Genomic DNA, 14,090 nt, shown 5'->3' with positions numbered 1-14,090 from the left:
TGGTTTCCGGACTCAAGTTCAAGCAAATGGAAACGAAGGGAGACAGGTGTGAACCGGGGCTTTCTGACTACAAGTGAACATAGTGGTGTCTCTATAGGAGTGAGAGAGTCAGCAGCATTTATTGCATCTACCTGTATGCAAAGCCAAGGTGTATGAAATATCCAAAGTGTAGATGCCAAGGTATCATCTCTCAGGAGCTTTCCATGGGTTTGGAGATTAAATGCAAACATTCTAGGGAAAGACAAGAACATTGTGCAGCCCTACACCGTGGGCTCCAAGGCTCTACATGACCTGGTCTCTGCCTTCCTTCTTGACTTCATCCTGTCCCTCCCTCGCTCTGTTCAATATGCCCCAACCATACCCGACTGATCTTTGGTTCTCAAATATGACTCTTGCTTTGCATTTTGTTTTGCCTGGATCAATATTCATCTATATTTTTGTACAGCTGTGTCTGTCTCAATGCTGAGGTTTCAAATCAAATACCATCTCCTCATGGAGATCCTGCCTGACTTCCTATCTAACTAGAGTCAAATATCCTCCACTTATTCTAAATATCTTGGAGATGCTCTCTTCTATTCCATCATCCTGATTTCATGTTTGGAATATTACATCATTTGTTAAAATTATTTTATTTTATGTGTTTGTGTATTGTCTATACACTTTCTGTATTGGAAGATGAGCTACTTGTGTGCAGGGATCTTATATCCCATATTTACTATTGCCCCTGTCACCTGGAACAAGGTTTGGTACAGAAGGTATCTGTATAAAATGCTTGTCAAAATGGGCAAGAAGACAGGTGCACAAGACTCTAGGATGTACATTACCCTAGGTAAGGATACTTTAGGAGAGAAAGACATGTATGACTCTGGAGTCAGAAGATAGTCGGGTCCAATTTTCAGCTTTTTCACTGACTAACACTGTGCAATCTGGGAATTTGCTTTAAATGCTATGAAGCTCTAACTTCTCATGAATAAATGGTGCTATACACTGTGCTTTGCTCCAATGTTGCTGTGAGGCTACACCAAGATAAACCATGTGCTGTGCTTAGCACAGTATCTGGCCCATATTAAAGGACCAGCGTGAGCTCCTGTCACTGCAGGATGCTGTACACAGGGAACGGAACGCATGCCAAGCTGGAGAGAATAACACACTGCAGTAGATTGGATCATTGTTCCCAATGCCTCCTGCCCTCCTGCATTTATTTTTTACACACTCATCCTTTGCCATGTGGCTTTGCAGCTCCTCGTGCTAGAGGAGAACTGCCTTTCCCCATCTGATGCTGGACATGGCCATATGGGTTGCTTTGGTGGATGGAATGTGGACAGAGCAGCAGGTTTCTGATCTGGATGAGACTTCAAGAAGCACCACAATCTCAACTCATGCTTGTTCTCCTGTAATTAATAGAAGAGTTAATCCTGGGTGACAACTGCCCCTTCAGCCTGCATATCCACCAGCATAAACATTACACAAGTCAGTACATACAACATTTCTATCATCCAGGAAGCTGTTCCTTCCCTTTTCCAGAAATAGCCAACTCCTCAAATGCAACCACTTTTTAAATTCTACCATCTTAGATTAACTTTGCATGTCTTTAGACATCATATAAATGAAATCATATTTTTAGTCTTCTCATCCCTAAAGTAAGACATTTCTCTTCACCAAAACAAGTCAAGATTTCATGGAAGATGTGGGAAGATGTTACCATTTCTTTCATTTCTATTGCACTTGAGGAGCATCCATTCTCTGAATACTTAAACATTTCAGGGTTGCATTTTCCTTTCAGTCTTCCATTCTCTTCTTAACTGTAAAAATCTTAAGCAACCTTTGTTGGCAGGAGAGTCTAAGTAAGCCCTCCAGGAAAGTTTGATACGTCAACATTCAAATCATGCACATGTATGACTTTCCTCATGGTGACTTTGATTTACTGGCAACCTAGTAAAGGAACTAGTTTACAAGCTATGACAGTGTCAGGGACACTTTTGTAGTCTCACACCACTTTCCCGCCACTATACAGCCTATCATAACTTTCGTCTAAGGTAGAGATCTACAAACACAGTCATACCTCTGTGAAAACAAAGGGATGTTGCTCTCCTTCAAATGCAGCCCCAAGTATGCATGCTGCTATCTGCCTTCTCTGTCATTGATAAATTACACAAGCAGCGCTTATCAGATGAAGCACCTACTTATGTCGAATGAATGGCAGCTTCCTTAAAAAAAAAGAGATTTGCATTAAAACACTGATACATCTAGAGTTTCCACTGCATGGTAAATTGTTGAACTGGTTGGTATTAGCTGTCATTGGCACCTGTGAGTTCTTCGTGTATTGCTGAATGAAGCTGAAGTGCTAAGTTCTTAGGGATGTTGACAGATTTTAATTCCTGCTCTTTATCATTGGATAGCAAGCTCATGTTTGATATCACTTTTCACCCACATATTCATTTTAACTTCCACTCCCAATTTTCATTAACAGTTAAAAAGTGGCACTTGTGATTATTTTATGAGGCATACATCATTCAAACTTAGTTGGAGTGGAAGTCAATCTGAAGATGGGGGTGAAAAGCAACTACTTATGTCAGAATGAATTCCAGGTTCTGATGGCAACTTCTTTCCCCCCTCAAAAAAAAGAGTTGCATTTAAACACTAATACATCTAGAGTTTCAATTGCATGGCCAATGGTTGAACTGGTTTGTCTCTAAAGATGCTCATGATTGCAGATGCACATTTCTTTTTTTTAATTATTATTATTATTATTATACTTTAAGTTTTAGGGTACATGTGCACAATGTGCAGGTTAGTTACATATGTATACATGTGCCATGCTGGTGCGCTGCACCCACTAACTCGTCATCTAGCATTAGGTATATCTCCCGATGCTATCCCTCCCCCTCCCCCCACCCCACAACAGTCCCCAGAGTGTGATGTTCCCCTTCCTGTGTCCATGTGTTCTCATTGTTCAATTCCCACCTATGAGTGAGAATATGCGGTGTTTGGTTTTTTGTTCTTGCGATAGTTTACTGAGAATGATGATTTCCAATTTCATCCATGTCCCTACAAAGGACATGAACTCACCATTTTTTATGGCTGCATAGTATTCCATGGTGTATATCTGCCACATTTTCTTAATCCAGTCTATCACTGTTGGACATTTGGGTTGGTTCCAAGTCTTTGCTATTGTGAATAGTGCCGCAATAAACATACGTGTGCATGTGTCTTTATAGCAGCATGATTTATAGTACGTTGGGTATATACCCAGTAATGGGATGGCTGGGTCAAATGGTATTTCTAGCTCTAGATCCCTGAGGAATCACCCTAAAACCATAAAAACCCCAGAAGAAAACCTAGGCATTACCATTCAGGACATAGGCATGGGCAAAGACTTCATGTCTAAAACACCAAAAGCAATGGCAACAAAAGCCAAAACTGACAAATGGGATCTAATTAAACTAAAGAGCTTCGGCACGCAAAAGAAACTACCATCAGAGTGAACAGGCAACCTACAAAATGGGAGAAAATTTTTGCAACCTACTCATCTGACAAAGGGCTAATATCCAGAATCTACAATGAACTCAAATAAATTTACAAGAAAAAAACAACCCACCCCATCAAAAATTGGGCAAAGGACATGAACAGACACTTCTCAAAAGAAGACATTTATGCAGCCAAAAAACACATGAAAAAATGCTCACCATCACTGGCTATCAGAGAAATGCAGCTGCACCTTTCTTTTAACAATTTGAATGAAACTTTCCTCCAATAAAATTTCCTTTTCTCCAAGCCTCTTTAGGTCTGAAGAGTTTAGACATTGATATTCTTTGGCCTGCTTGGAATGCTATTTCTCATCCTCTTTTCCTTTTGTAAGAACAGCATTGAGGTTTATCTTTGAGGATTCCTCTCTCTGCTCCTCTGGGGTTTTCTGGTCTTGGTCAGGAGAACCAGGCATAGGACCCCAATCAGTCAGAGCACTAGGTCCTCTAGGACCACAGTGATGGGTTCAGGATGGACACACAGATCCCAGCTTTGAGATTGTTGCTGGGTTGTTGGAAAAGAGGCCACCTTTCTGCTGTGTAAGTCACTTTTGGCTGAAGCAGTTTCTTTCCCCTGGTTTCCTTGAAGCAACGTCTGTCTGTCATCCTGGGTGTGCTGCAGGTTTGCCTGTGAAGTCATTTCCGGTGTGTATACCCAAGCACTACCAAAAAGCTCTGTGCTCAAAGCATGCAGTTCTGTGCTTCAAGTCTGCTGGCGTCTGAGTACAAAAGACTTTCATAGGTGACCAGCTCTTAGGGACTGAATTGTGTTCCCCGAAAATTCATATCTTTAAGTCTTAAATTCGAGTAACTCAGAAAGTGACCATGTTTGGAAATAGTTTCATTGCTGAGGTAATTAGTTAAGATGAGGTCTTTAGGGTGGACCCTAATCTAATATGACTGGTGTCCTTGTAAGAAGGGAGACCAGGTGCAGGGGCTCACACCTGTAATCCCAGCACTTTGGGAGGCCAAGGCAGGATTGCCTGAGCCCAGGACCAGCAATGTAGTGGTCCTGAGACCAGCCTGGACAATATAGTGAGACCCCTTCTCTAGAAAAATGAAAATAAAAAAATTAGCCAGGCATGGTGGTGCATGCCTGTAGTCCCAGCTACTCAGGAGGCTGAGGTGGGAAGATTGTTTGAGCCTGGGAGGTCAAGCCTGCAGTAAGCTGTGATCCTGCCACTGCACTCAAGACTGGGCAACAGAGCAAGACTCTGTCTCAGAAAAAAGAGGGGGTCAGGGAATGTTGGACACACACACACACACACACACACACACACAGAAAGAGAGAGAGAACGCTGTGTAAAGATGAAGGGCAGAGATTGGGGCTGTGCTTCTCTACAAGACAAGGTATTTCAAAGATTGCCAGTGAACAACCAGAAGCTACAAGATTCTCTCTCGAGAAAGAACTAACCCTGTCAACACCACGATCTTGGACTTCCAGCCTCCAGAACTTTGAGATAATAAATTTCTGTTGTTTTAAGCCACCCAGTTTGTGGTGCATTTTTAAAAGATCCCTAGCAAACTAATACTCAGACGCAAACCTGGCTGTGAGATGAATAAATTCCCATGGTCAAAATGCTAACAGTAAATCCAGTGACCACTGTCAATTATCGTAAGTCTTTTGTTCTCCTGACCCTTGCAGTATATCAGTGGAAACTGCATACAGTGAGGTTATTATACAGGAGCTAGTAACGTTTAGCTGCATATGAACTGCCATCCTTTGTCAGTGTTTCTCAAAAATGATTTGTGATTAAGAAAACAAGTGGGGGACGTAGGCCAATATGAGCAGCTTACAAAATAAGGCTTTTGCAAAATACCATTAAATTGTCACAGGCCAACTGTTCTCACAATTGTATACGATAATTCTGTGTTGTTAGTCCAAACTGGGAAAAATAATCTCCTTATGCAAAATATATGTGATTAATAAAAGATGAACATTTTTATTCAGAAGTTCTTGCCCTTCCAAATACTAATTATATTTATTCCTTTTTATTCAGCTTTTTTATATAAATGTAATTATTGTTTAGGAAATTCATAAACATTTGTTGAACAGCAATGCTGATCACATCTCTTCAGTTGTGACTTGCAAAGCATTTCATTAAAATGAATTTTGCACCAAGCTTCACCCAGTGAATTTAACTGTGACAACAGAATAAAGCCACACATATACCAGGCACTTTAAAATGCTTCTGTACATATTATTAGCCAATGTTGCTGAAAAAATTACTTGTTTCCAAAGAAATGAGGAAAGGAGGTCAGGATGATGATGAACACAGAAACACTTCACAATGTAATCTACACAGACCTTGGTTTCAGCTTTTTTCACTTTCTGGTTTGTATGAGAAAAAGTAATGAAAACATCCACCTTACAGAAATAGCTTGGGTGAAAAAAGATGGCTTTTGAAGAACTCTTGTGGGATTTCTTGTTGACACTGCAGTCATTTGGCCAGGTGCAGTGTTTGTAAACACTCACCTGCACCAGTTCCTCCCCTGAACTCAGTGGGAGGAAGCACTTGTGAAGAGGGCCGTGAGAGCTGTACAAAAATTGTTTATGATGCATAAAAGCCCTTGTGGAGAAAAATGGTTTACCTGTGGCATCTTACAATGTTTGTGGTGTACACTTAAGCAGAGTGAGGGAACTGTAACATATTCAATTTCCCTGGAAGGAGTGCAGAAAATGCCACCCAAAATATGACACTTTGGTATGACTAATTACTTTGAACCAAGGGAATTTGGTAAACAGAAGGTGCAGGCAGAGGCTTTCTTTGAGCTTGTCTTATCTGCTTAAAAAGGGATCCTCCAAAAGGAACTCAATTGTCTTGAATTCCCTGCCTAGGAAGGAATCTTATCAATCAGAGAAGATTAACTTGGATTACAGGAGAGAACACTGGAGGTCGACAGCAGCCTGGATACTTTTATTACCTGAGAGACTTTTTATCTGCATGGTATGGTTTGGCTGTGTCCCCACCCAAATCTCATCTTGAATTGTAGCTCCCGTAATCCCCACATGTCATGGGAGGGACTGGGTGGGAGGTAACTGAATCACGAGGGAGGTTTTTTCCTGTGCTGTTCTCATGATAGTGAATAAGTCTCACAAGATCTGATGGTTTTATAAAGGGCAGTTCCCCTGCACACACTCTCTTGCCTGCCACCATATAAGATGTGCCTTTGTTCCTCCTTCACTTTCCGCCATGACTGCGAGGCCTCCCCAGCCATGTGAAACTGTGAGTCCATTAAACCTCTTTTTCTTTATAAATTAGCCAGTCTCGGGCATTTCTTCATAGCAGTATGAAAATGCACGAATACACTGCCTAACAAGACGACCGTACACTTCTTCCTCTCACCCTCCCAGAACTTGTGTCATCACCTCCCTCTAGGAGCCCCAAGCCCATATTCCTTTCTGTAGCTCAGGATCCTGTATAAGCTTCAATCACATGTCTCTTCTACTCTGATGTTTTGTGGGACTCCCATGTGTACTTGCATAGTTCAATATGGTTTTTCTCCTGTTAGTCTGTCTTACATCAGTTTAATTTGTAGCCCAGCTAAGGAACTTACAAGGATGGAAGATAGCCCCGTCTTTCTCTGCTACATTCTCTAGTTTAAAAAATCATTTGTTATTAATTCCTCAAGTTTAACTTTATTCTTTCCAAAGTACAATATTGTGCAAGGAGATCACCAAAGAGCTTTCTCCTTGGAACCCATCTCTCTAGGTGCCTCAGGGGCCTCATTTGAAAGTTTCTTTTGTTGTTGTTGTTGTTGTTGTTGTTGTTGTTGTTGTTGTTTTGAGACTGTCTCACTGTGTTCGCCCAGGCTGGAGTCCACTGGTGAGATCTTGGCTCACCACAACCTCCGCCACCCGTGTTCAAGAGATTCTCCTGCCTCAGCCTCCCGAGTAGCTGGGACTACAGGCGCACACCCCCATGCCTGGCTAATTTTTGTATTTTAAGAGAGATTGGGTTTCACTATGCCAAGCTGGTCTCGAACTCCTGATCCGCCTTCCTCAGCCTCCCAAAGTGCTGGAATTACAGGCATGAGCCACCGTGCCCGGCCTGGAAAGTTTCTACCTAATTTTTCCCATTCCCGTGCCTACAAGACCCGCCTGAGCAGAAAGTATGCTGGACACTTGCCGGTGGAGGAGAGCATTTTTTTTCTCTCTCTCTCTTTTTGTAGAGAGTGGTGAAAAGCACTAGCTGGCACTGCCTTTTAGAAATGCATCTGATTTACATGCAGGCCTAAAAAGAGAAACATCCAGGACAAAGGAGACTTCTGCTTCTGGCTAAAGTCAGGTCATTTACACAGCAGTGAAATTCCAGGATCAAGTCAGCAAGATACACAGTAGGATAACTGTCAACCATTTAGCTTATATCAAACACATTATTCTGCAGAATCCTCTTAAGATACTTTTCTGTCACAGACACTTGCACATAATCACAATGTTACAGACCAGCAGATCTTGGCACTACTAAAATAAACACTTTTAATATTCAGAGAATTTATTTGCCCTTCTTAGTAAATAGCTGGAGAGAGCAACTCAATTTTATGTTGATAAGATACAGAACAGGTATAGCTGTGACCTAAGTTTTATGGTATGTAAATATTCACCAACATTGTCATTCTCTCTCTAAGACAGTATAAAGTCCAGCCCTGTATTTTCTCCTTTCTTAAGGATTTAACCTGGCAGGCCTAGGACTGCATTTGTCAGAAGACCCTGGCTGGCACCTGGTAAAGGTGGCTTACTATGCCCAGACATTTTGTACAAATAATACAATCCCTGCCATACACCTGCTTTCCTTCTGGAATTTTAGTACCTCCCAGGAAGAGGGTGCCTATGGAATCAGCCCCTAGTAAAAATCCTGGGCATTGAGTCTCTAATGGACTTCTCTGTTATACCTGGCAGATTTCACACACATTGTCACTTGTATTCGCTGGGGAATTGTGTCCTGTGTGACTCCATGGGGAGAGGTTGAGGCTCGTCTCCCCCAGACTTCACACCATCCACCTTTTACGTTGGCTGACTGTCCTTCATATCTTTTTGTGGTAGTAAAACTTAGCCGTAATTATAAACCAGCAGATCTTGGCACAACTAAAATAAACATTTTTTAATATTTAGAGAATTTATTTGCACTTCTTAGTAAACAGCCTGAGAGAACAACTCGATTTTATGTTGTTAAGGTAACTTATCAGCATAACACTATATGCCGAGTCCTGTGAGTCCTCCTACTGAATTATGAAGCCTGGGGTGGCCTTTGGAAACTACAGGCCCTTTCCCCACCTCCCACCCTACCAAGGCTCCTTATTAAACTGCCAACTGGAGCTATTAACTTCTGTTTTTAGTTAAAATTAATAGCCAAGATTAATATAAAGGAGGCAGGAGAAAGGGAATTGTAGTTTTCAGTTTCGCACGAAATATTTTCTAAGTTAGTGAAAAACAAAATCCAGCTCACATCTCAGCAAATGTTATCCCCACATTTGCAAAATGCCCTGGTACTTGCTGATACAAGGCTTTGTCTTCCTGTGCAGTATCAGGGTCAGGGGCATACACATGTCATTCAGGTCCTGGCTTCCCTTCCTACCAGGCGACCTTGGATCCTAACAATCAATTAGACCATGATGTAAAAGACTTAGCTCACTGCCTGTTGCTAGATATCACTCACTAAAAGTTATTGTTGTGTTGTTGCTATCATTATTATTATTATTATTACCTGTCATCTTCCAAGCATACAGCCCCTGGTTCAGGTTTAATTATCAGAGTGACCTAAAAGGCCTGTGCTCACTGTGGGTGGGCTTCCTAAGCCCAGGTATTAAAAACGAGATAAAGACTCCATTATTTGACAACAGAAGTATATTAAATATTTGCAAATAGAATTTCAAAAATCACCCTTTTATTTGACAGTTCTTAATTATTCTCAGGGGTTCCATTGAGAAAATGCCTGATAGAATTTCTTGGTTTCTTTTTTTTTTTTTTCTGAGACAGAGTCTTGCTCTATCGCCCAGGCTGGATTGCAGTGGCATGAACTCTGCTCACTGCAACCTCCGCCTCCCAGGTTCAAGCAATCCTCCTACCTCAGCCTCCCAAGTAGTTGGGATTACAGGCATACACCATCAAACCCAGCTAATTTTTGTATTTTAGTACAGACGGGGTTTTACCGTGTTGGCCAGGCTGGTCTTGAACTCCTGACCTCAGGTGATCCACCCGCCTTGGCCTCCCAAAGTGCTGGGATTACAGGCGTTAGCCACTGCACCCGGCCAATTTCTTGGTTTCTCAAGAAAAATGGAGGATATGTTAGGCACATTGTTCAAGTTGATAATAGTAATGAATTCAGTGGAGTATGGAGTGAAAAACACTGTCACATCTGAGAGCTTGGACGGATCCCATGTAAGGAGAAATTGAAGGAGTACCATGCCCTAAGAAACGCCCAACAGGCCTGAAGCAGGAAGGTGTCCCTCCACATTCAAAAGGATGGAAAGAGAGAGGCAGATGGTGTCTCTTATTCACTGTGATTGAGAGACAGTGGCAGGTGGCATTCCTCATTCAACATGGTGTAGAGACAGACAGGAGATATCTTTCATCTAATATAGCAGAAAAACCATTAAATCTGCTATAAGAATAATCGTTGTTCACGTTTTGGCCCCAGGTCTTACCAAATGAGTGACTTTCACAAATCAGTTCGCTTACTCTTAGATCATCATAAAAGATTGATAAATGTGATAATTAACCTACTATTTGTGAATTTAGTGACTTGATTCTGAAACTTCACTATCTTGTGAATGACCTGACTTACTTGTTGGTATCTTACATGGATTTTTGGTGTATATGTGTCACTGGTATTCTGACACATTTTCAAATGATTGCTACCAGTGTTACTTTTCACTCTTAAATGGACTCAAATTTGCTAGGTCTGTCCCGCAAATCCTGGCCAACAGATGAAATGAGTACTCAGACACAAGTATGTAGCGTAAGAGCAGCTGGGTGACTGCCTGGCTCTAGTGACCAGAGAGCAGCCCCAAGAAGCTGGAGCTGCTTGCTTTTATTCAGTGCAGGCACAATGCCGAAAACCTGGAGCCCACACAACCTGTAGGTAATTAACATTTATTGTTTCCCCTTTCAGGAAGAGTCATGCGCATGGATGATCAAAGGTCAGTTCCTGGTCAACATAACTAAACAAGCTTGTTTGAGATAAATTCCCCCACATTCCCTTGTAGCTACTCCTTGCCCTTTGCCTCAGGGTTATAGAACAGCTGCCTTCAGCTATTCTCCCCTGGGGGCTCTGCAGAAACTTCTGACCTTTCAGAAGATTTGCGTCCTTTCCATATAGTTTTCCCACCACTCTGAGTGATCCCCCACATCTCCCTCTTTTCTGGTTTTTTTTTGTTTTTTGGGGGTTTTTTTGCACTAGGTTTTGTTGATTGAAGCATACAGATGTGCACAGCAACAGTTTTGACTGGCACAGCAGTTACAGCTTGTGTTCTGGCTTTACATCCCAGAACCAGTAAATAACATAAGACAAACATGAGTATAATCAGTATTATTCTTTTCCAATCAAGGTGTGATATGTAGTGTTACTTAGCACCTCAGTCCAATGTGTGCCATTACTGAGGGACCCCACTGGGGGGTATGTCAATCCCTCCTAGCCAATCAGTCACGTTATTAGAGCCTGGGAAGGGAGTGTCTGCCCAAGTAACAGAGTGGGAAAAAAGGCAGATCTAGAAGATGGGCCCAATAGAGTGTAGCAGTTACAGGTAGCAGGCAAAGTGAGAGAATAAAAAAGCTTAATACCCTACGAGAGTTGCAATGTACAACAGCATAGCGAGGAACACATTACCTGGAGTGAATGGTGTCTGTGCCTGGAGCAGGATTTGCTTGGCCTCCTGAGTTGTCTTCTTCAGCATCCCCCAGGTAATGTCCAGGGCCTGTGTCATCCAAGGAAGCCACATCATCCGGGATTGTGGGTCCTGTAGGGTCATTTTCTTCATTTTGGTACCGGGTTGGGTCCTAGCCATGCCATGGTATGGTTTGATGCCTCGTGCTGGAATCCAAAGAGGACCTGACGGGGTGTGAACACAAGCATATCCTCTTTCCCACATTAGCAAATCATTTGGACCACACCATATATTACTATTTACATCCTTCCATAAAACTGAAGGTTTTATATCTTGAGTGATTTTTGCAAAGCGCTTTTCTATACCTAATTGAAATTTATCATCTAAATTGAAGAAATTAAGGGTAAATAAGGCTTGTGCCAATAGTGTTGCAGGGTCCTTACTCATATTCTGCCTTTTTTGTTTTCTGAGCTTATTTTTAAGGGTGGAGTGGGCACATTCTACTATGGCCTGTCCTTGAGGGTTATACGGGCTACCCGTGGAATGTTGGACATTCCATGTGTGACAAAATTTTGAAATTGTGAGCTAGTGTAAGCCAGACTGTTATCAGTTTTAATCTTTGTGGGCCATGCCATAAATGTAAAAGGTTAAGAGAAGATGTTTAATGACATATCGGGCTGACTCTCTAGGAAGAGCATGAGCACTAATTAAGTGGGAATAGGTATCAACAGATACATGTACATACCTTAGTTTTCCAAATTCAGGGACGTGCATAACATCTGTTTGCCATAACTCATTAGGTTCTAGTCTTCTAAGGTTAACACCTGTTGAAGGAGGGGATGTGCCTGTGAGCTGGCAATCTGGGCAATGTAAAATAATTTGTTTAGTCTTTGGGTAAGTTGAAATTGTTTAGCTAAAGTTCTCCAATTCTGATGAAAAAATAGATGTGATTGTGTGGCTTGGTCAAGTAGTGACCTCATGACCTGCAAATCTGCTTGATCATTGCCATGAGCCAGCGGACCAGGCAGCGAGCTGTGGGCCTGAATGTGTGTGATAAAAACAGGATGTGTTCATTGATCCAACAATTGCTGAAGTCAGAGAAAAAGGGCACACAGGGTGGGCTCAAGAGTGGATTTAATGAGAGCTGTTTCAAGGTTTTGCACTAAATAAACAGAATAAGCAGAGTCACTAACGATATTGATGGGCTGAACGGAAAAGGTTTCCAGGGCCAATATTAGGGCTCCAACCTCAGCTCTCTGAGTGCTAGTAAATCCAGATCGAGTGAGAGAGTTATGCGGTTCCCACCAGATAGCCGCTTTTCCTCTGATTGCCTGCATTGCCTGTAACAGTCTATATTAGCATTTTCATAAGCCAATTGCAACAATAAGATATCAGCGGCCTGGGCATGACTAATTTGTCTCTTAATTGCCTGGGTTAACTGATTGATAAATTCAACAAATGGCTCCTGAGGCCCTTGTCAAACATTTACAAAAGATCCCTGTTGAACTCCACCTTCGGAAATTTGGTCCCAAGCCCTGCAGTCACATAAGGACACTTGTGCACAGGCTTGGGGGACAAAATTTAATTGTTGTACATTGACATAGGGACCCCTCCCCTACAGCATAGCAGCCGTTACGTTTTGCCTGGCCAATTGATTTTGGTTGGCTTGTTGTTCACACAACTCATCATATTCTGCCCTCCAGAGGAGATACTGACTGGCCTCTAAAGTTGTTTTAGCTAGCACTGACCAGTCCCATGGGGTTATATGGAGATTATCTGCTATGGCCTCAATTAATCCTTTCATAAATGGGCTAGCAGCTCCGTTTTCTCTAATGCTTTTTCTTATCTCTTTATAAGTCTTGAAAGTAACGGGTTCATGTAACTAATTGCCTTGTTGACCTTGCATCACCAGGCAGGACAAGAGTTCCCCTTCTAATGCCACTTGCCTAAGACAGGGTCCCATAACTGTAGTGTATCCCTTGCCTTTTTTCTAATTTATTGGAGGAGGAGGACTCAGGGAAAACCTTTCTCTCCTCTGTGGCACCTTTACCTGGTAATGGAGGGGCTGAGGGAGGAGGAGGAGGTGATAAGGTAGATGATGGTTCTTCCTCCCCTCCCTTTTTAGGCTCTTCTGTGTAGAGTGGGGCCAAAGCAGCCCTAACTAAGGCCCATAACATTAAAGATGTTACTGGGACCCGTTGCCCTTGCGCACGATGTTGTTTAAGACTTTTTCCCACTGTTCCCAGAGCTCTAGGTCTAACGTGACTTTTTCTGGGAACCACGCGTTGTGGAAAACAACAGTTTGCATTAGGTCCCTTAATTGGGCCTCTGAGACCGAGGCTCTGCTAGCTTTAAGCAGCTGTTTCAATACTTTATATACTGTTGCTGTTGAGCTGATAATTGTTGTCCCATGAAGAAACCCTAGCTTGAAAATCCCCTCGAACTTGGAAATCCCCAGCGCGCACCAATTACTTACTGCTCAGTCACTTCACATTTGTTTTCAGGGGTTCCCTTGCAATCCATTGCAGCGTTCCTCACATGGGGCACCACCTGCCTGGTCTGTCCCACAGACCCTGGCCGATGGATGAAGCGAGTACTCAGAGACAGGTATGCAGCATAACAGCAGCTAGGTGACTGCCTGGCTCTAGTGGCCAGAGAGCAGCCCTGAGAAGTTGGAGCTGCTTGTTTTTATTCAGTGCAGGCACAATGCCGATAACCTGGAGCAAACACAACCTGTGGGTA

General features: G+C 42.5%; 1 long non-coding RNA gene across 1 annotated transcript in view; it reads right to left on the bottom strand.

Annotated features, from left to right (window-relative positions):
- Positions 1 to 1,165: 1,165 nt before the first annotated feature.
- The window catches only part of LINC02826 (long intergenic non-protein coding RNA 2826), a 59,958-nt gene continuing 47,033 nt past the window's right edge, over positions 1,166 to 14,090 (bottom strand). The window contains exons 6-10 of the long non-coding RNA NR_183612.1: positions 13,825 to 14,081; positions 12,094 to 12,172; positions 11,351 to 11,554; positions 2,063 to 2,207; positions 1,166 to 1,391 (exon numbers count right to left, since the gene is read on the bottom strand). This is a non-coding gene — a long non-coding RNA (long intergenic non-protein coding RNA 2826). The remainder of the gene's footprint in view (positions 1,392 to 2,062; positions 2,208 to 11,350; positions 11,555 to 12,093; positions 12,173 to 13,824; positions 14,082 to 14,090) is intronic.

Source organism: Homo sapiens, chromosome 12 (genome assembly GCF_000001405.40).
Source record: "Homo sapiens chromosome 12, GRCh38.p14 Primary Assembly".
NCBI classification, from domain to species: Eukaryota; Metazoa; Chordata; class Mammalia; order Primates; family Hominidae; genus Homo; species Homo sapiens.
The sequence above is the reverse complement of the archived record's forward strand: the minus strand, read 5'-3'. Positions and strand labels throughout refer to the sequence as shown.